Raw genomic sequence first — 22,781 nt, forward strand, 5'->3', positions numbered from 1 at the left:
ATTTTTAGTAGAGACAGGGTTTCACCATGTTGGCCAGACTGTCACTGGTGGTATTTAAACCCAACAAAACAAACATGTATGAGTCTGCATTTATAACCGTAATGTTCATGATTTTTCCTATTAGTAAGTATTTACTTCATCTTGTCTTCTAATGTAGCTGTACCTCACTACATCATGGTCCTTTTATTTTCTTCAACTACTTTGCCTGTTTTTCTGCTCACATTAATGAAGGACTAGCTCAATGAACAGTTAGGGCATACAAACAGCTTCCCTAATCAAGGAAGTATGCAGGCAGGCTAAAGAGCCTCTTAACTCTCAAAATAGGGAAGACTTCATTACAAGACTTTATATCATATTTCATTCCAAAACCAAGTGTTTTTTCTCTTCCTTCTCACTTTATTTACAACCACTATAGAGTTCAGGGTTTCCTTGGTTTCCCTCTTGGTCCTTAACATGCAACTAGGAGTCCTCCCCACAAAAAGTTTTCTACTTGTCTTAGACAGCAACTCTCGTGGTTTTAGCCTGGTAGCAAAGGCCTAAGCCAGTTACCTTATACTGCATAGAAGGGAAAAGAGGCACAACAGATCCAGCTACTCAATAGACCTATTCCTCCTTTTTGTACTCACTGAAAGGTTTTGCTTTCTGTTTTGTGTGGTAGTTTTAATTGTTTTAGTTATTCGTGTACACAATTTAGAGTCAAACAGTTCTATAAGGTTTGTTCTGAAAAACAGTAATTTTTCATCCTCCTACCCACTTCTCCCTCCAGAGGCAACCATTTTCAACTTTTAGCTGATTGTTTTACTGCTTACCTCCATGTCTTTTATATATAAATATGCATTATTGCTACTTCTTGATTTTTCCATGTTAAATACCCATAGATGTACCAGTATAGAGTATGAAGATCTGCTTCTCCTCCCTGACCCCGTGTATACTCTTTCCATCCCCTAATAATGGTTGTATCATAAAGTTGTTTAGTTCAGTACTCAGTTATCAATTATAACTACATAAACGTTCACAGTTGAGCCACACAGTAAACTATACTGTAATTACTTTTTCTTTTCTGTACTACTTAATGTGTTTCTTTAAAGTTAGTACTTTTTTTGCATTTTTCTATGACTTTTCAAAACTTGTTTACAGTTCCCTAGATCACAAGATGTCTAGACTCACCAGGTATTCTACCAATTCATCTTTCTAAAAAAGTCTCTCCCAGAGCCATGTGACCCCCACACCCCCATCCACCGCCCCCCTGCAACTAAGCCAGCTCCCTGTAGTCCTGATGCACAGCTGCCACCCTGGGATGTCCCTTCACCATTATCCTGGAAGGTACTTTGTTTCTCGTATGTGCTAGATCTGCTTTCTACACTCAAAATCCTAGTCTTCTTTCTTGGCTTATGCCTTCATTTCGGTGAAAAATAGCTCATCCTCTAGGAACTTCCTATGAAAGCATACTCCCCCAACTTGATTGAGAGATTGGCTGGATACAGAATGCTGGACTGGTAATGACTTCCCTTCAGGATTTTGAAGCCACTGTGCCAATGCCTTCTAGTTTCCAGTTTTGCTGTTGAGAAGTCTAAAGTCGTTTAGATTCTTGACCCTTAGTGTGTGACCTGTTTTCCAGGAACAGCAAGGGGGCCAGAATTGTTAGAACAAAGTGGGCAAAGGAGAAGAGTAGGGTGGAAGGGGATAGATCACACAGGACCATGTAAATTTCATTTTTTTTTACTCTGAGTCTCATGGAAGCTACTGTAGGATTCTGAGCAAAGGAGAAACATTACTGACTTAACTAAAATGGATCACTTCAACTGCTGTAGTGAGACTAAACTTGAGGGGGCTTGGGGGTAGCAAGAGGGCAGAAACAAGGTGATCCATAAAGAGGCTAAATGCAGCAATCCAGGCAAGAGATGATGGTAGATTAGACCAAGGTGTTGCACTGGAGGTGTGAAAAATGGCTGGATTCTGGATGTATTTTTAAGGTTGACCCAAAGGATGGTTCTGCATCAGATGTGGGTTGAAAGAAGAGGGTAGGCTGGGCACAGTGGCTCACACCTGTAATCCCAGCACTTTGGGAGGCTGAGGCGGGTGGATCACGAGGACAAGAGATCGAGACCATCCTGGCCAACATGATGAAACCCCGTCTCTACTAAAATTACAAAAATTAGCTGGGCATGGTAGCGCGCACCTATAGTCCCAGCTACTTGGGAGGCTGAGGCAGGAAAATTGCTTGAACCCGGGAAGCGGAGGTTGCAGTGAGTCGAGATCGTGCCACTGCACTCCAGCCTGAACAACAGAGTGAGACTCCGTCTCAAAAACAACAACAAAAAAAAAAAAAAAAAAGAAAAAGAGGGTAAAAGATAATTGAACTGAAATTGTTACCTGAACATTCAGAATAAGCTTAGGGGCAAGATAAATTTGGTTACACACATGTCAAATTTAAAATGCCTATTAGTTTCTAAATGGAAAAGATGTGTCAACATTTGGATATACAAAGACCTGGAATCCAGAAGCATGAGCATCTTAGCCCAGCTGGCATTGGGGCATGACTTTGGCTCTTGTTTTGACAACTTACCCTCCCTTTTATCCTATTTCCCATGCCAGGCTCTCCAATGTGAGCTACAAAATACACTTTAATAACTCCTTTCTCAAACTCCTGGCCTCAAGTGATCCACCTGCCTCAGCCTCCCAAAGTGATGAGATTATAGGCATGAGCCACCGTGCCCAGCCTAATCATCCAGAATTTCTATTACTCATAATGAAGAACCTTAACTGATAACACTATTAAATCAGGAAAAGGGCCGGGTGTGGTGGCTGAAACCTGTAATCCCAGCACTTTGGGAGGCCGAGGCGGGTGGATCACCTGATGTCAGGAGTTTGAGACCAGCCTGGCCAACATGGTGAAACCCCATCTCTACGAAAAATACAAAAATTAGCCGAGCGTGGTGGCAGGCGCTTGTAATCCCAGCTACTCAGGAGGCTGAGGCAGGAGAATCGCTTGAATGCAGGAGGTGGAGGTTGCAGTGAGCCGAGATGGCGCCATTGCACTCCAGCCTGGGCAACAAGAGCGAAACTCCATCTCAAGAAAAAACAAAACAAAACAAGAGAAAAAACTAGCCAGGTGTGGTGCTGTGTGCCTGTAGTCCCAGCTACTCGGGAGGCTGAGGCAGGAGAATCGCTTGAACCCGGGAGGCGGACGTTGCAGTGAGCAGAGATCGCGCCATTGCACTCCAGTCTGGGTGACAGAGGGAGACTCCATCTCAAAATAAATAAATAAATAAACAAACAAAGCAGGAAAAGAAGTTTTAAATTGTGAATAAATACAATTTTATTTTAAAAATTAAAAATAGGGAATGTATATTCAGGGCAACTTGAGTGTATGCTCCCAGAAAGCAAAAAAAAAGTTTATTAAAAAAAATTTAACATAACAGATTTATGTATCATACTCTTAGGCATTATTTATAGTAGTACATAGTATACTTTATTATTTATGAAAAGGAACTAATAATAAAATCCTAACTGCTCCTAAGTTGTGTATATTCCTTGGCAAAGCTCATCTATTTCTACAGAATAGGCAAAAACTAAACCACAGCCCAGCATATAACTAATGACCTAACCTGTAAATCATCATTAAAATCTTCAAGTTTCTCCAGGTGTCTACTTGCTATAAGAACTTTAAATTCTTAAAAATTGATGATATTCTGGCCTTCAAAAAAACCCAATTACATTACATGAGGTCAACAAAAAAACCCAAAAATTCACAATTAGTACTTGAAATTTTACTCTATTACAAAGATGAATTAAATGTCCATTTTTAGAAAGTGAGAATAAATCTGTTCTGTCATTATACTGTATCAGTAACTACATCTGTGAGTTTCCTAAGCACACAGGGATTTAAATTCTCGTAGTTATAACTAACGGCAAAAAATTATACCCTCAGATAAATTGCTTTTAAAATACAGGCTGGGAGTTAACTTAGAGTTCTATAAAGCTGTCAGATAACAGGTACTAAGAAAAAAGGTCCTCTGAAGTATAAAAGTAGAAGATAATGGATGAGGTGGGGTGCAGTGGCTCATGCCTATAATCCCAACACTTTGGGAGGCTAAGGCGGGAGGATCACTTGAGGCCAGGAGTTCGAGACCACCCTGGGCAACCTGGGGAGATCCCATCTCTACCAAAATGTAAAAAATTAGTTGGGCATGGTGGTGCATGCCTGTAATCCTAGCTACCTGGGAGGCTAAAGTGGGAGGATTGCTTGAGCCCAGGAGTTCAAGGTTGCAATGAGCTATTACCACACCACTGCATTTCAGCCTGGGGGAAAAGAATAAGACCCTATCTTAAAAAAAAAAAACAAAAAAAATGCTAGTTTGGTGACTCATGCCTGTAATCCCAGCACTTTGGGAGGGGGAGGTAGGCAGATAGTTGAGCTCAGGAGTTCAAGACCAGCCTGGGCAACATGGTAGAACCCCACCTCTATAAAAAAAACAAAAATTAGCCAGGTGTGGTGGCTGGTGCCTGTGGTCCCAGCTACTCAGGAGACTGAGGCAGGAGGATTGCTTGAGCCTGGGAGACAGAGGTTGCAGTGCGCAGAGATCGTGCCACTGCCCTACAGCCTGGGTGACAGCAAAGTCATGTCTCAAAAAAAAAAAAAAATGATGATAATGGATGCATGAGAGGTGGAAAAGCCTATTAGAAAAGAATATTGGCCGGGCGCAGTGGCTCACGCCTGTAATCCCAGCACTTTGGGAGGCCGAGGCAGGCGGATCACCTGAGGTCAGGAGTTCGAGACCAGCCTGGCCAACATGGTAAAACCCCATCTCTACTAAAAATACAAAAAGTAGCTGGGCGTGGTGGCAGGCGCCTGTAATTCCAGCTGCTTGGGAGGCTGAGGCATGAGAATCGTTTGAATCCAGGAGGCAGACGTTGCAGTGAGCCTAGACTGCATCATTGTACTCCAGCCTGGGCAACAGAGCAGACTCCATGTCAAAAAACAAACAAACAAAAACGATCGGCTCTTTGCTTCATAAACAAATATTCTCTCCTTAGACTCATCTATTTTTACACCAAGTTATCAGAGCCATCACATTACCATTATATTTCTATACCCTCAAGAGTCTGATTTAATGTATAAGTTCTTATTTTATTCCTTTCCTTCTGAGGCATTCTTAAGGATCACAAGTCCTAGTGCATGCTGACTCTAAAAAAGTACATCATTCACAAGAAACACATTTCTGATCACTATATGTAGCAACACTAAGCAAGCAGAAAACCTGCTTATTAGTTATTGACAACTTAAATATTTGAGCAAATGTTTGTACGTACCTTTATTAACTGACATACAAGAGTATTTTAAAACAATAAAATGTTACAGGTTGAGTATCCCTAATCTGAAACCCAAAATGCTTCAAAATCTGAAATTTTTTGAGCACCAACATGATGATCAAAGGAAATGCTCTTTGGAGCATTTTGTATTTTCAGATTAGGGATGTTAAACCAGTAAGTATAATGCAAATATTCCAAAATGCAAAAAAAATCCAAAACACCTCTGGTCCCAAGCATTTCGGATAAGGGATACTCAACCAGTATAATGTGTAATATAAGAATATACTTCACTGTTAATAATGGTCAAATTTTTCCTTTTGCACATAAAAAGTATAAAGTATAATATAGCTGGGCGCGGTGGCTCATGCCTGTAATCCCAGCACTTTGGGAGGCTGAGGCAGGTGGATCACGAGGTCAGGAGATTGAGACCATCCTGGCTAACATGGTGAAACCCCATTTCTACTAAAAAATACAAAAAATTAGCTGGGCATGGGGGCGGGCACCTGTAGTCCCAGCCACTTGGGAGGCTGAGGCAGGAGAATGGCGTGAACCTGGGAGGCGGAGCTTGCAATGAGCCAAGATCGCGCCACTGCACTCCAGCCTGGGTGACAGAGCGAGACTCCATCTCAAAAACAATAAATAAAAAATAATAATAACAATAATAAAGTATAATATAAACAGCCCTGTATTTAAGCTTATAGACTCACTACAATCGACTCAATGAGACTATTCAAATCTTGTTGTTCAGAAATCTACCTCTGTCAAATAATTGATTTGTTTTCAGAAATGCTTTACATAGGCCAGGCGCAGTGGTTCACGCCTGTAATCCCAGCACTTTCGGGGACCGAGGTTGGCAGATCACCTGAGGTCAGGAGTTTGAGACCAGCCTGACCAACAAGGTGAAACCCCGTCTCTACTAAAAATACAAAAATTAGCTGGGCATGGTGGTGCGCACCTGCAATCCCAGCTACTTGCAAAGTTGAGGCAGGAGAATCACTTGAACCCAGGAGGTGGAGGTTGCAGTGAGCCGAGATCGCACCACCGCATTCCAGCCTGGGTGGCAGAGTGAGACACTGTCTCAAAAAAAAAAAAAAAAGAAATGCTTTACATAGAGATTCGTATTGTCATGCCATATGTTGGTGTAGGATATGAACTATATCATAACAGGAACTGTCAATAGCAGCTTAGCAGGCAAACAAGCTCCACACAGCTAAAAACAATTTTATTTGTATTGATATAAAGTAGAAAAGGCAATATACATATGTGTTATCTACCCATGATGGCAAATGTCACCAACATAAATCTACCATAAAGACAGTAGTCTGGGCTGGGGAGGTGGATCACACCTGCATTCCCAGCACTTTGGGGGGCTAAGGTGGGCAGAACACTTGAGGTCAGGAGTTTGAGACCAGCCTGGGCAACATGGTGAAACCCAGTCTCTACTAAAAATGCAAATATTAGCCAGGCGTGGTGGCACACTCCTGTAGTCCCAGTTACTCGGGAGGCTGAGGCAGGAGAATCGCTTGAACTCAGGAGGTGGAGGCTGTAGTGAGCCGAGATAGCACCACTACACTCCAGCCTGTGCAACAGAGCGAGACTCCATCTCAAAATAATAATAATAATAATAATAACAATAATAAAGACGGTAGTCTGTTTTCATCTCTAATGAAATAATTGCTAGCAAACTTTTTTTTTTTTGAGACAGAGTCTTGTTCTGTCGCCCAGGCTAGAGTGCAGTGGCATGATCTCGGCTCACAACAATCTCTGCCTCCTGGGTTCAAGCAATTCTCGTGTCTCAGCCTTCCGAGTAGCTGGGATTAAAAGTGTGTGCCACCACGCCTGGCAAATTTTTATATTTTTAGTAGAGATGGGGTTTTGCTTTGTTGGCCAAACTGGTCTCGAACTCCTGAGTTCAAGTGATCCGCCCACCTTGGCCTCCCAAAGTGCTGGGATTACAGGTGTGAGCCACTGTGCCCGGTCACATTTTAATCATTACAACTTAAACAAATGTGGAATTTCAATTATGAAATACTCTTTAGTGACCATCAGATGAAAACCCTCCAATAACCAGTATTTTCATGAAAAGAGGATACAAGGGATACAGATCAGTTCAGAATAGGATTGTCCTGTTGCATCTCACCAGATTGATCAGTCTTCTCATTGCATGTTCATGAGAGCAAACACATTCACAGGGATCAAATCCACCTTCTGCCATGATTACCCAGCTTGATTTTACTTGACTGTTTAAATCTAGGAGGAAGGAAAAAATACTGTTAAGTCTACAATTCAGAATTACTCTTTCTCTTGAGCTATGAAAAATTCTGATATTGATTACATTCACAATAGTATTAAACTATGTATAGTTTGTATTTATTGACTTGTATCTATTAATTTATTATTAATCTTATATGAATTATGAATCTATACAGGTGATTGGCTACCCCTTCTGCCATCAGCCCATAAATACAAATGTCTTCAATGCTCTAAACTGGCCCCACCTGTGATGCTGAAGATGCTAGAACCTACTCTGCTTAATTACTCAATTATTTGACTTTATTAGCTCCAGTATGCAAATAATTTAAACCAGCCTTTACCCTCACCAAGAAAGACATCTGAAAAGGTATCTAAAATGATACCAAGGTTTATGGGGGGAAATTAATGACATAGCTAAAAAATAGCTAGGTAGATTTCAAAAAATAAAGAGAAACAAATGAGAGGTCAAGATGGAGTATTGGCAACCAGATTTACTGTTCTGCCTAAAACAATTTTTTAAAAATTAGACAAAATACATGAAACAATTGTTTTTTGCTGTTGTTTTGTTTTGTTTTTAGACAGAGTCTCGCTCTGTCGCCCAGGCTGGAGTGCAGTGATACGATCTCAGCTCACTGCAACCTCCGCCTCCTGGGTTCAAGAGATTCTCCTGCCTCAGCTTCCGGAGTAGCTGGGATTACAGGCATGCACCACGCCCGGCTACTTTTCATATTTTTAGTAGAGATGGGGTTTTGCCATGTTGGCCAGGCTGGTCTTGAACTCCTGACCTCAGGTGATCTGCCCACCTCGGCCTCCCAAAGTGCTAGGATTACAAGTGTGAGCCACCGTGCCCGGCCAGAAACAATTGTTTTTAAGATATTAAGGCCAGGCGCACTGGCTTACTCCTGTAATCCCAGCACTTTGGGAGGCTGAGGCGGGAGGATCACTTGAGCCCAGGAGTTTGAGACCAGCCTGGGCAACCTAGTGAGACCTCACCTCTACAAATAATTTAAAAATTAGCTGGGCATGGTGGCACAAACCTGTGGTCCCAGCTACTCAGAAGGCTGAGGTGGGAGGATTGCTTGAGCCCTGGCAGTCAAGGCTGCAATAAGCCATGATCACGCCACTGCATTCCAGCCTGGGCAACACAGTGAGTTCATGTTTAAAAAAAAAAAAAAAGGGCTGAGTGTGGTGGCTCACACCTGTAATCCCAGCACTTTGGGAGGCCGAGGTGGGTGGATCACAAGGTCAGGAGATAGAGGCCATCCTGGCCAACATGGTGAAACCCCGTCTCTACTAAAAATACAAAAATTAGCCAAGCGTGGTGGCGTGTGCTTGTAGTCCCAGCTACTCAGGAGGCTGAGACAGGAGAATCGCTTGAATCCGGGAGGCAGATGTTGCAGTGAGCCAAGATCGCGCCACTGCACTCCAGCCTGGCGACAGAGCAAGACTCCGTCTCAAAAAAAAAAAAAAAAAAAGACATTGAACATGAGGCTACAAAGAATAGTGACACCTGAGAGACGGAAAAACAAATGAGATGAGCCCTATCACTGGCCCAGTTTACTGCCTCGAGGAGACTCTAGTTCCAAGTATGTGGTGGGAAAACCCAGACCAGAGCCCAGTGGTATCCCTAAGTTGGGGAGAAGAAACTAGAAGAATGACTATATTAAGGAGAGACATTAAAGATAGTAAAATCATCCAACTGGACTGGTAGAGATAAAAACAATAGTGTCCGAAATGAAAAATACACCAGATGGGTTTAACAGCATAGGAGACATTACAGAAGAAAAGATTACTGAACTTGAAGACATAATAACAGTAGCTATCAAAAATGAAATAATAGAAAAAGGGGTGGATAAACCAGTAGTCCCAGCCACTTGGGTGGTTGGGGCAGGAGGACCATTTGAGCCCAAGAGTTCAAGGCCAGCCTGAGCAACACAGTGAGAACCCATCTCTGAAAAAAATAAACAAAAACATACATAGGCCATTAGTGAGCTGTGGGACAACTTCAAATGGTCTAATATATGTGAATTGTGGACACATCCATCAAAACTTATCAAATTGTATATTTAAATGTGCATAGTTTATTGTTTATCAATTATATCTCAATAACGAGTAAAATTATGCTTATATACAGCATTAGCCATGGAAAACCATTCTGGTTAAAAGGTGGAATAGGCAGATCAATAAAACAATTCATAAATTAACTTAAAATTAAAAATTGAGTGATTAACATAAATTCACTCAAAAATATTTAGTGCTTATGCTAAGCCTATTAGAAATTTAAAAGTAGGCTGAGCATGGTGGCTCACACCTGTAATCCTAGTAGTTTGGGAGGCTGAGGCAAGAGGATCACTTGAGCTCAGGAGTTCAAGAATAGCCTGAGCAACATAGTGAGACCTCATCTCTGTAAAAATAAAAAAGAAATTTAAAGTAAGCAAAAACTGATAGTTCTTACCCTAATGGTGTTCACATTCCAGTAGTAGACACAGATACTAATCTAAATGTTTTTTAAATTATAAATACAAACTGATAAATGCTATAAAAGATAAACGAAAGAGTGAAAAGACAACTCCCAGAATGGAATATTTGCAAATCATCTGTTTGATAAAGGTTTAGTATTCACAACATATAAAGAATTTCTATAACTCAATAACAAAAGATAAGCAATTTTTAAATGGCAAAGAACTTGAACAGACATTTATTCAAAGAAAATATACAAATGGCTAATAATTATATTAAAAATGCTTAAAGTCAGTAATCATTAGGGAGATGCAAATCAAAACCACAATTAGATACCACTTCATACCTACTAGTATGGCTATAATCAAAATGGAAAATGAGTGATGTAGAAAAACTAGAACCCTCATACAACCCTCATGTAAAATGGTGGTGTGGCTGCTGTGGAAAATAGTTTGAAAGTTCCTCAAAAGTTAAACACAGATTATCATAAGACTCAACAATTCTACTCATAGGTATATACCTAAGAGATTTGAAAACATAGACTCAAGATTGGGCATGGTGGCTCACGCCTATAATCCCAGCACTTTTGAAGGCTGAGGTGGGAGGATCACTTGAGCCCAGGCAACACGGTGAGCAAGACCCTGTCTGTATTTATAAACAACAACAAAAAAGAAAACATGAACTTCAACAGATACTTGTTTACCAAATATTCAGAGCAGCATTGTTTGCAATAGACAAGAGACAGAAACAACCCAAGTGTCCATCAAGTGAAAAATGGATAAACAAAATGTGGTATACACATACAATGGGGATATTCAGCTGTAAAAAGGAATGAGGTTCTGATATGTTACAACATGAATGAACTTTGAAAACATTCATCAAACTGAAATTAGCCAGACAAAAAATAATATGCTATGATTCCATTTATATGAAATATCTAGCTAGAATAGGCAAATTCATGGAGACAGGAAGTAGAATGGTGACTTCTAGGGACTTAGGGAAGAAAGGAATGGGAAGTTACTGCTTAAAGAGTTTCTATCTGTGGTAATAAAAAAGTTTTCAAAATGATGGTGATAATTGTACAACACTGTGAATGTAATTAATGTCACCAAACTGTACACTTTAAAAATGGTTAAAACTGCAAATTTTGTTATATTTTACCCCATTAAAAACAATCACTCTGGTTGCCTAGAGCTGGGAAGTTTGCAGGGGAAATAGGGAGTGACTGCTAATGTGTATAGGATCTTTCAGGGGGGCTGAAAAAACTGTTCTATGGTGATAATCACACAACTCTGTGAATATACTAAAAGACACTGTAATGTACATTTTATTTTATTTTATGTATTGTTTTGAGATGGAGTCTTGCTCTGTCACCCTGGCTGGAGTGCAGTGTCATGATCTCGGCTCACTGAAACCTCCACCTCCCGAATTCAAGCCATTCTCCTGCCTCAGCCTCCAGACTAGCTAGGACTACAGGCGCGTGCCACCATGCCCGGCTAATTTTTTGTATTTTTTTTTAGTAGAGATAGTGTTTCACCATGTTAGCCAGGATGGTCTCGAACTCCTGACCTAGCGATCCGCCCGCCTTGGCCTCCCAAAGTGCTGGGATTAGAGGCATAAGCCACCGTGCCCGGCCTGTATTGTACATTTTAAACGGGTGCATTGTATGGTATGTAAATCATATCTCAAAAAAGCTGTTACATAAATGGTGCCTAGAGAGCATATACATGTTCTAAACTCATCCGGAGAGTCAGGGAAGATTTTACTGAAGAAATTAACTAGAAGTTGAGAGTGAAGGAATGAGTTAAATACATTAGGGAGAGGTAGAAGTAGAAGGTGTGAGACTTGGGGGTTGAGGGCATTCTAGACACAAAGGGAAAAGAAGTACAAAGGTCCTTTATGAGTAAGAGTATGACATGTTGGAGGAACTGAAAGAAAGCCACACTGTGCTAGAATCTGGATAGCAAAGTGGTTTAAAATGACACAGGAGAGGTCAGAGGGAGTCATGCCACAAAGGGTCTTTCCGGCTATGTTCATGATTAGGTCGTTACCCCAAGAGCAATGTGAAGAACAATGTGAAGCAATGTGCTTTCATCCTGGTGTGTTCTAAAAAGACCACCTCAGCTGCACGATAGAAAACTGAGAAAAGGGAAGCCACAGTAGGTAGAGGGAACCTAGTTAAAATGCTCTTTCAACAGATCAGCGACAACGGCGGGGCTCCTTGGAGAATGATATTTTAATGACAGCATATTGAATCACTGGAAGGAAGACAAATTATTTCATAAATGGTGTTAGCTCCCTCCCTATTCTCATTCCTTATGCCAAAATAAATTCTAGACGCATGAGTGATTTAACTTTTAATTTTGAGACAGTGTCTGGCTCTGTCACCCAGGTGGGAGTGCAGTGGCGCGAACACACCTCACTGCAGCCTCAACCTCCCAGGCTCAAGTGATCCTTCCCTCTCAGCCTTCCAAGTAGCTGGGACCACAGGTACACACCCCATCTTGCTAGTTTTAAATTTTCTGTAAAGACGGGGTCTCCCTATGTTGCCCAGGCTGGTCTTGAACTCTTGAGCTCAAGTGATCCTCCCTCCTCAGCCTCCCAAAGTGCTGAAATTACAGGTGTGAGCCACCGCGCCTGGTCCAATTTAACTTTTAAAAATGAAGTCACACATAAAATTAGTCAACTACAGCAACAGATTAGAACACAGTATCCACAAATTGACCCATGATTTTACTGAAATTGAAAATATGCAAAAGGTGCCATTTAAAATCATGGATTATTTAATAAATGGCAGGGTGATTGTCTTTTTTTTTAAAGTAAACTGTGACACATACATAAAGCACTGGAAGCCTGAGCAATATAGCAAGACCCCATCTCCACACACAAAAATTTTTTTTAATTAGCTGGGTGTGGTGGCGTGTACCTGTAGTTCTAACTACTCTGGAGGCTGAAGTAGGGGGATCGCTTGAGCCCAGGAGATTGAGACCATAGTGAGCTATGATCACACCACTGCACTCTAGCCTGAGTGACAGAACTAGACCTGGTCTCTTAAAAAAAAAAAAAAAACTGAAAGAACATACAACAGACTTAATATGTGAATAGCTCTGGGGAAGAGAATAAAATTTTAGGGACTAGAGTTTCGTTGTCAATTTTTACATTTCTTATGAGTATGTATTTATGCATTAAGACTTCTAAAATATAAATTTTAATTTTAAAAAGGCACACATACATAACTACAAGAAGATGACTGGGATACATATAGAATATAAGTCCAAGAAACCATGAAGGAAAGGACCAATAATTTTAACAACCAAAACCAATAAAAGTTTCTATAAAACCAAAAATACACCATAAAATGAAAATACAACAAACTTGAAAAACCATGTGCAATATCAGGGCTAGTTTCCTTAATTTACAGAGAACTCTGAAAAAATCAGTATGAAAATGGCAACCTAGAAGAAAAGTGAGCGAAGATTACATTCACAGGAAAATACAGAACCAATAAGCAAATAAAAAATGGAAGTGTAAATCAAAACAATCTTATACCTATCAGGAGATTGGTAAAATTAATTCATCCAGCCAGACACGGTGGCTCACGCCTATAATCCCAGCACTTTGGGAGGCCAAGGCAGGCAGATCACCTGAGGTCAGGAGTTCGAGACCAGCCTGGCCAACATGGCCAAACCCCGTCTCTACTAAAAATACAAAAATTAGCTGGGCATGGTGGCAGGTACCCGTAATCCCAGCTACTCAGGAGGCTGAGGCAGGAGAATTGCTTGAACTCGGGGGGTGGAGGTTGCAGTGACCCAAGATAGCACTAATTCACTCCAGCCTGAGCAACCGAGCAAGACTCCATCTCAAAAAAAAAAAAAAAACAATTAGCCAGGAATGGTGGTATGCACCTGTAATCCTAGCTACTCAGGAGGCTGACACAGGAGAATCGCTTGAACCCAGGAGGTGGAGGTTATAGTGAGCCGAGATTGCCCAGCCTGGGCAACAGAGCAAGACTCCATCTAAAAATAATAATAATAATTCATCCTGGTTAATTTGAATATTCATATTCAAACAAGTATGCAAAATTTCTGTACAGCATGTTTACTGGAATACTGTAACAGCAAAGAAAAAAGTAATGCAAAGTATTTATCAGTGTTGTTCCAATTAAATGATACAATGAGTACATGAGATCCTATACAGCTGTTAGAAAGAATAAGGTAGATTTCTACATGGTGATTTGGTGAACCAACCAACATATATTGAGATGAAATCAAGCTGTAAACAGGGCAAACCTTTCCATCTAATATCCTTCTAGATCTGCTTGCCTGAGCTAAGGGGAGAAGGGGAGGTGAGAATTGGAAAGGGAGATGGAGATGCGGCCTGAGCTGGAGAGGCTCACTTTCCAGAAGGTAAGCAACACCATATGCAAACTCTACTTCACAGTTTTGTCTGAGGCCACTCTGTCAACACCTTTAAAAAAAAAAAAGGGTGATTAGCTTTCACATTAGAGAACTGATTGTACATATGCAACACAGAAAACTCTGAAAGTAAATATAACCTACCCTTATATGTAAAGTTCACCAGTAAATTCCTGTTTCTCAACTGTCTTTTCTTTTTTTGTTTTTTCTTTCTTTAGATGGAGTTGCACTCGTTACCCCAGTTGGAGTGCAATGGTGTGATCTCGGCTCACTGCAACCTCTACCTCCCAGGTTCAAGCAATTCTCCCGCCTCAGCCTCCCAAGTAGCTGGGATTACACACATGCGCTATGCTGGTCTGGATATAAGCAAGTGTTAACTACAGATACTGGTCCATCCTTCCTTAGTCCCGATGTATATCCCCCCAGGTCAATACTGTGTTGGTTAAAATGAAATACTAGTCCATCCTTCCTTACTCCTGACGTGTATCCCCCCAGGCCAATACTGTGTTGGTTAAAATGAAAAGATATTTTACTAAGATTTTCTTATTTTTTAAAAATTTGAGACAGGGTCTCACTGTGTCACCAAGGCTGGAGTGCAGTGGCACAATCATGGCTCACTGCAGCCTCGACTTGCCAGGCTCCAGCAATCCTTCCACTTCAGCTTCCCCAGTAGCTGGGACTGCAGGCACCTGCCATCATGCCTGGCTAATTTTTGTATTTTTGGTAGAGACGAGGTTTTGCCATTTGCCCAGGTTGGTCCTGAACTCTTGAGGTTAAGAACTCCACCTGCCTTGGCCTCCCAAAGTGCTGGGATTATTGGCATGAACCAACAAGCATGGCCTTTTACTAAGATTTTTATAAAAGAAATTAAATACAGAAATGACCACCTCTGTAGCCTCTGAACACAGAAATTTAAGAAAGCACAAGCACATTGGCTTTTATAAAGAAAGGGAGACTTGTTTTTATCAATGTATTATCCATCAAAATTGTAAAACATGGCTATTTTAAAATCTCTTTTTAATTCATTAAATCAACAAAATCAGACTCCACCACCACCCCTAAAAAAAACAGAGCTTCTGGAGGGCAGAAATCTTAGTCATCATCATCTCTGAACACCACCTATATTGCTTAGCCACAGCACTCATAGAATAAATATTTACTGAATTCTTGACAATGTTTATTTTCTCTACATCTATATGTGCCAGGAACAAGTAAATCAACCAGAATTTTAAATTATACTTCAGTCTTAATTAGCCTCCAGTAAAATGAGAAAGTATATTTATAAATAGGACATTCCTCAATAGTGCTACACTTCTGTGGAACTTTCTTCCTGTACACTTGAGCTGTTTTAAGTACTACTCCGTTTTCAGTTAACAGTTTCCATTTTAAAATCACTGGGGGTTTTTTTGAAAATAGAATGAACACAGTTCTCTTTTGGTGAGGACCCAAGAACAAGTGTCAACACAAACCAGCAGCTAGGCACTAGAAGAAAAAAACTTAACCAGTCCCACCGCACATTTAAATCCCTTGGTCTCCAGAGACATTAAGAAGCTGCTCTATCCTAGGCAAGACAGAACAGTTTTACTGAATCAGAATTTTAGTACATCTGCCTCAATGAGGTCTTTGATAGAAAGTAATTTAAAACAAAGTTTCATCTTGTATGTTTCATTGACTTGTTCATCTCCCCGATATATATCGCTAATGTTAGAGAACAATGCTAATACCAAAGTCACGGGGGGCTTGATCCTTGAGGACAAGCAGCTTCAAGACTTGTTTCTCAAAAATGTGCAACAGGTCACAAAGGTCTAAGTCATGAAAACATAAATAGTTTACTAACAAAATTCAAAATAGCCAGGCACGGTGGGCTCATGCTTGTAATCTCAGCATTTTGGGAGGCCGAGGTGGGTAGATCACCTGAGGTTAGGAGTTTGAGACCAGTGTGGCCAATATGGTGTGAAACCCAGTCTCTACTAAAAATACAAAAATTTGCTGGGCATGGTGGTGCACGGCTGTAATCCCAGCTGCTTGGGAGGCTGAAGCAGAATTGCTTGAACCTGGGAGGGTTGTAGTGAGCCGAGATGGCACCATTGCACTCCAGCCTGGGCAACAAGAGCGAAACTCCATTACAAAAAAAAAAAAAAAAAAGAAAATTCAAAATAATCGAGGAGCAGTAAGGGAAGCAAACATAGGCATAGATGAAATAAAACGGACAATAAGTTGATAATTATTGAAGTTGGGTTATAGGTTCTGGGGAGTTCCTATGCTACTTTTTTTTTTTTTGAGACAGAGTTTTGTTCTTGTTGCCCAAGGTGGAGTGCAGTGGCACAATCTCGGCTCCCTGCAACCTCCACCTCCCAGGTTCAAGCGATTCTCCTGCCTCAGCTCCAGAGTAGCTGGGATTACAGGTGTGTGCCACCACGCCCGGCTAATTTTCTGTATTTTTAGTAGAGATGGAGTTCCACCATGTTGGGTAGGCTGGTCTTGAACTCTCAACCTCAGGTGATCTGCCTGCCTCAACCTCCCAAAGTGCTGGGATTACAGGCGTAAACCACTGCACCCGGCCCCTATGCTACTTTTTAAAAATATTTTTATATTTCCATAATAGTCATTTAATTTATATGTCAGCATTTTCCCATTTTTGTGATAGCAATCTGACTCCAGGTATATATTAAGCAACATGGTTTATAAGTGACTTTCTATGTAGCATTAAGGGCAAAATAAACAAACATGTCTGAAGCTCTCAAACAATTCTTAGCACAGAAAAGCAGTGAAAGAACATGAATGTTGGGAAGGCAAAAAGCAATTCCCCTTATTCTGCAGGTCCAGGTCATTTTCTCTCCTCTACAACTAATACAACCTTTCCTGGTAGGGATTGGCAGTAATAACTCAGTTGAGTCATACTGTTGCTATATGTGGTGAGGGAATTTTCCAGTGCTGTTAACCAATTTATCATTGCTGTTAGAACCTTAAACACTCCAGCTCATGCAAGTCTCTAAGAGACAGAGGGAGTTAAAATAGCCGATAGAGTCTCTAAAATGTTTTTTTTTTAATTTATTTATAGAGACAGGGTCTTGCTGTGTTGCCCAGGCTGATCTTGAACTCCTGGGCTCAAGTGATCCTCCCACCTTGGCCTCCCGAAGTGTTGGGATTACAGGCGTGAGCCACGACCTCCGGCCCGAATGTAAGATATTAATATTAAGGGAAGCGGGGTGAGGAGTATACTGTAACTTTGTATTACCTTTGCAACTTTTCTGTAAGTCTAAATTTATCCCAAAATAAAAATATTTACTTAAAAAATGTCAAGTCCAAAAGAACTTTAAAAAATAAATAAATGAATGGGGGGATTTTTAGGGCAGTGAAACAATTCTGTATACTACTACAGTGGTAGATACATGTCATTATACATTTGTCAAACCCCATAGGATGTACAATACCAAGAGTGAACCCTAATGTAAACTATGGACTTTAGGTAACAATGACTTTTCAATGTTAGGTTCGTTGACTATATAACAAAGTTTAACACTCTGGTGTCGGATAGTAGGGAAGCTATGCATGTGTGGGGGCAGGGGATATATGAGAACTCTATACTTTCTTCTCAATTTTCCTGTGAACCTAAAACTGCTCTAAAAAAATGATATTTTAAAAAAATAAACTAAAAAACTGGATGTGGATCAATGAAACAAGACTGGCCAGGAGTTAAAGACCATTGAAACTGGATCATGGGTAACTGAAAACTGTTGAGCCTACTTTTGTGTATATTTTTTAAACCTATAATAAAAAGTGTTTTTACAAAGCTTGTATCCTTAAGAATTATATTTCTATCACTCTGTCCTAAGGGACTGTCTGAATTGTGGATTACTGAAAATTTAAAAAACTATAAAGAACCCAAATGTTAGTAATTAAAGCTATGGTACATTCAAGCAATGAAACATACTATGTAGTAACATGGTATAGCTAGCAAAACTGGCCTCTTGCTAATAGTATCTCTATAGTAGATTTGGCTTATTCTGCTAGGCTATTCCACTGAAAACAAGGAAGGGACATCCCTGAAAAGGGTTAAATATTCCCAATTTTGTTGTTGTTGTTGTTATTTTTGAGGCTGAGACTCACTCTGTCACCCAGGCTGGAGTGCAGTGTCGCCATCTTGGCTCACTGCAACCTCCACCTCCTGGGTTCAAGCAATTCTCCTGCCTCAGCCTCCCAAGTAATTGGGAACACAGGCGTGTGCCACCATACCTGGCTAATTTTTGTATTTTTAGTAAAGACGGAGTTTCACCATGTTGGCCAGGCTGGTCTCAAACTCCCGGCCTCTAGTGACCTGCTCCCTCAGCCTCCCAAAGTGCTGGGATTACAGGAGTGAGCCACCGCGCCTGGCCACATTTTATAACTTGGGAGTTTCTGACTCTTGCTTCTCAGACTCCATTGTGCTAACAGACATAAACTGAAAGCATGATTTGGAAAGTTCTTTTCCTTTCCTTTTTAAGTTAATCCTCCCTGGTACCCACATCAAAACGTAACAGAATAGTGTAACCTGACTGTGAGCTTATCTTCTCTATACATCTTCCAATCCATTCCTTACATTTAAAAAAAAAAAAAAAGAAAAGAAAAAGAAAAAAGAAAAGCAGGATTCTAAGGACCCAGAATTACTGCAACTGGATTTTTTCCTTATTTTTCTCAAGGCTGTAGTATAAAAATATGTACCCTTTGAAACCTCTCTACTCTTTTTGCCAATCCCTGGTTTCCTCTCTCCTTCAAAAAGGTTAGTTCCCAGCTTTTTTTCCAAGAGCAACAATACTAAGATATTCATTTCCCTCCTAAGAAATGAGTCAGAATTCCAGTATGCTCAGTGTGAAATTCCTGTGATTAAGGTTTTTAAAAGTATTTAGAATTACTATCTACCTAGAATTTAAACTTGGGGAAGAATTATTGTACATTAAACTCATTATACCGGTTATTGTTAAGATGATCAGATACTGATTTTTTCTTGTTTTCCTATGTTTCTATACATATTACTTTTTGAACCAAATTACATATTTACATATGAATGTGTAAATATTTACATATATGTACAAAATTACATACATGTGTAAACAACAGATACTACCCAAAATAAAAATAAATGCTGATGTCAAAACTCCAATAACATTAGTAACTTAAGGCCAAGTTTTTATCTATGGAGAGATGTTTGCAAATAGTCCCAAACCTTAAGATTTTAGTTTTTGAAAGATGACCTAAGTGGCCTGGGGACAGAATTAGTAAGGAGACTTTTCACTGTATACGATTATGTGTTTTCTGAAATTACACCATTTGAATATTTTAACTATTCAAAGAGTATTAACTTTGTAAAAGAATAATCTTACAGTAAGTTTCTTGTTCTCTCAACCATAGCCATTAGCTCTAGGGAAAAATAATTATATCTCAATTTACTCGAACTGAATATGCTAAATTGTTTAAACCCTGTCTTACCCTCTATCATCACTGAATTTGTTGGTTAAATATAGCATAAAAGGGATTGTAACTCCATAGGTAAATGTAACAAAATTAACCATATCCCATCATCAATGAAGATATTAAAAAGTATGTAAACAGGCCCTATCATGGATACTTCTAAAGTCAGCCTTTCACCTAAATCTGAGGCAAACATTGTTTGCAAAAATCAGTTTTCAAAGTTTACTCTTCCCTGCCCTACTCACTCTCTGGTGGAAGCTTTAACAGCGGAAGAGAATCTAAACAATGAAACAGTGTATCTAAAACAGTGTATCTACCATAAACTATTAATGTTGGTATAGTATTTTGTTAAATTAAGTTTAAAATAAAAGCAAATGGAAATTCATTTTAAAAACATATAAGACGGAAAAAAATCAGGAAAATGACAATGCCTAAACTAGTTTTGTTTTTTATCTTCTCCCAAGGTGCATCTGCAATCAAAGACATCATCTGGATGCTTACCATAGTTGAGATGACAAACGGAAAAAATGGTAGAGAGAGGAGAGAAGTAAGAGAGAATATTACTCCTGCCAAAGCAAGCCCACTTCTTCAGAAATAACAAGTGAAGCCAGCATAGAAACCTAAACTATCAGTGACATCTACTCAAGTCTTGGCAAATACAGAAAAGGCCCCCAAAACATCAAGAGAGGAATTATCACCAGGGGCTGCTGAGGAGAACTTACACCATAAAGAAAAAGGAAAATGCATTCAATCGAGCCCAACTCATTTGAACACCTTGATACTGAACACTGTAACAGGCATGGGAAAAACGATGAGCAAGATGTGATCACCACTCTCAAGATAACCTCAGTCTAATTAAAATGGGGCTCCAGGAACTGCACTTGAAAGCCCCAGAGTATTGGGAGGCCGAGGTGGGTGGGTCACGAGGTCAGGAGTTCAAGATCAGCCTGGCCAAGATGGTGAAACCCCATCTCTATTAAAAATACAAAAATTAGCCAGGCTTGGTGGTTGGTGGGCACCTGTAATCCCAGCTACTCAGGAGGCTGAGGCAGAGACTTGCTTGAACCCAGGAGGCAGAGGTTGCAGTGAATTGAGATCGCACCACTGCACTCCAGCCTGGGCGACAGAGCGAGACTCCATCTCAAAAAAAAAAAAAAACAAAAAAAAAAAACCAAAGCCCAGTGTAATGAAACTCACTCATTCTCATTCTCTTTTACCCACTCTCACTGACTACACTTCCCAAGCAGCAAGTACCATTGCATAATAGCTTTTATATTTTTTAGGTCTGGTAATTTACAGAAAGGACTGCACACTTTTTTCAACCTGCATGTTGGACCTTGCAGGGGTGTCAAGCCCCCTGTTGAGAAGAAAGTGAGTGTGAATAGACTCAGTAGGAAGCAGCATTATGGAGTAGAGATTTGGGCATAAAATGGCAGCAGGGATGCATATACACCACATACTCACCTCTCCTGGCTGATAGATCCTTTATATTCCACAAGCCTGTCTTTGGAATATATGTGATATACTATCTCTAACCAACAAATTAAGTGATGATAGAGGGTAAGACAGGGTTTAGATAATTTAGCATGTTCAGTTCAAGAGAAAATTGAGATATAATTAAATATATATGAGAAAATTGAGATAATTATAATTTAATTTATTATATATACCAATAAATATAATTTAATTTATTCTATATATCAATAAATATAATTTATTCTATATATCAATAAATATAATTTATTCTATATATCAATAAATATAATTTATTCTATATATCAATAAATATAATTTATTCTATATATCAATAAATATAATTTATTCTATATATCAATAAATATAATTTATTCTATATATCAATAAATATAATTTATTCTATATATCAATAAATATAATTTATTCTATATCAATAAATATAATTTATTCTATATCAATAAATATAATTTATTCTATATCAATAAATATAATTTATTCTATATCAATAAATATAATTTATTCTATATCAATAAATATAATTTATTCTATATCAATAAATATAATTTATTCTATATATCAATAAATATAATTTATTCTATATATCAATAAATATAATTTATTCTATATATCAATAAATATAATTTATTCTATATATCAATAAATATAATTTATTCTATATATCAATAAATATAATTTATTCTATATATCAATAAATATAATTTATTCTATATATCAATAAATATAATTATATATATCAATAAATATAATTTATTATATATATATCAATAAATAATTTATTATATATATTTATATATATCTCAATTTTCTCAAAAATATTTATATGTATATATAAATGTATATATATATTTATATATATTTATATATATATATATATTTTTTTTTTTTTAAGAGCAAGATAGGGACTCACGCTCTGTGGCCCACGCTAGAGTGCAATGGCAATCATAGCTCACTGCAGCCTCAAACTCATGGCTCAAGTGATCATCCCATGTCAGCCTCCTGAGGAGCTGGGACTAGAGGCACAGGCCACCACACCCAACTACTTAAAAAAATATTTTTGCTGGGCATGGTAGCTCATGCCTGTAATCCCAGCACTTTGGGAGGCTGAGATGGGAGGACTGCTTGAGCCCAAGAGTTCAAGACTGGTCTGGGAAACAGCAAGATCCCATCTCTATTAAGAAAAAAAAAAAAAAATTCGGATGGGCGCTGTGGCTCACGCCTGTAATCCCAGCACTTTGGGAGACCGAGGCGGGCGGATCACGAGGTCAGGAGATGGAGACCACCCTGCCTAACACGCTGAAACCCCGTCTCTACTAAAAATACAAAAAATTAGCCAGGCATGGTGGCGGGCGCCTGTAGTCCCAGCTACTCGGGAGGCTGAGGCAGGAGAATGGCGTG

The 22,781-nt window shown here is 39.4% G+C and overlaps 1 protein-coding gene across 7 annotated transcripts in view, besides 3 other annotated features; it reads right to left on the reverse strand.

Annotated features, from left to right (window-relative positions):
• SMIM14 (small integral membrane protein 14) overlaps window positions 1–22,781 on the reverse strand; it is a 92,530-nt gene that overhangs the window by 51,282 nt on the left and 18,467 nt on the right. For 3 of the 7 annotated variants that reach the window (NM_174921.3, XM_047449743.1, NM_001317897.2), the window contains exon 2: window positions 7,454–7,563. In NM_174921.3, the coding sequence (NP_777581.1) occupies window positions 7,454–7,528 (75 nt within the window). In that variant the 5' untranslated portion in view covers window positions 7,529–7,563. Of the gene's footprint in view, window positions 1–7,453; window positions 7,564–14,348; window positions 14,497–22,781 lie in introns of those variants that run through there. The other 4 variants (XM_047449746.1, XM_047449744.1, NM_001317896.2 and 1 more) reach the window with 3 other exon arrangements.
• Window positions 11,864–11,963: an enhancer, noted in NCBI's record as "active region_21461". NCBI's record gives its function as "activates an Ori minimal core promoter by ATAC-STARR-seq in GM12878 lymphoblastoid cells {active_cell/tissue: GM12878}" and the evidence as "EXISTENCE:reporter gene assay evidence [ECO:0000049][PMID:35858748]".
• Window positions 12,204–12,403: an enhancer, noted in NCBI's record as "active region_21462". NCBI's record gives its function as "activates an Ori minimal core promoter by ATAC-STARR-seq in GM12878 lymphoblastoid cells {active_cell/tissue: GM12878}" and the evidence as "EXISTENCE:reporter gene assay evidence [ECO:0000049][PMID:35858748]".
• Window positions 16,308–16,357: an enhancer, noted in NCBI's record as "active region_21463". NCBI's record gives its function as "activates an Ori minimal core promoter by ATAC-STARR-seq in GM12878 lymphoblastoid cells {active_cell/tissue: GM12878}" and the evidence as "EXISTENCE:reporter gene assay evidence [ECO:0000049][PMID:35858748]".

This window comes from Homo sapiens, chromosome 4 (assembly GCF_000001405.40).
Source record: "Homo sapiens chromosome 4, GRCh38.p14 Primary Assembly".
In the NCBI taxonomy this organism is placed as follows: Eukaryota; Metazoa; Chordata; class Mammalia; order Primates; family Hominidae; genus Homo; species Homo sapiens.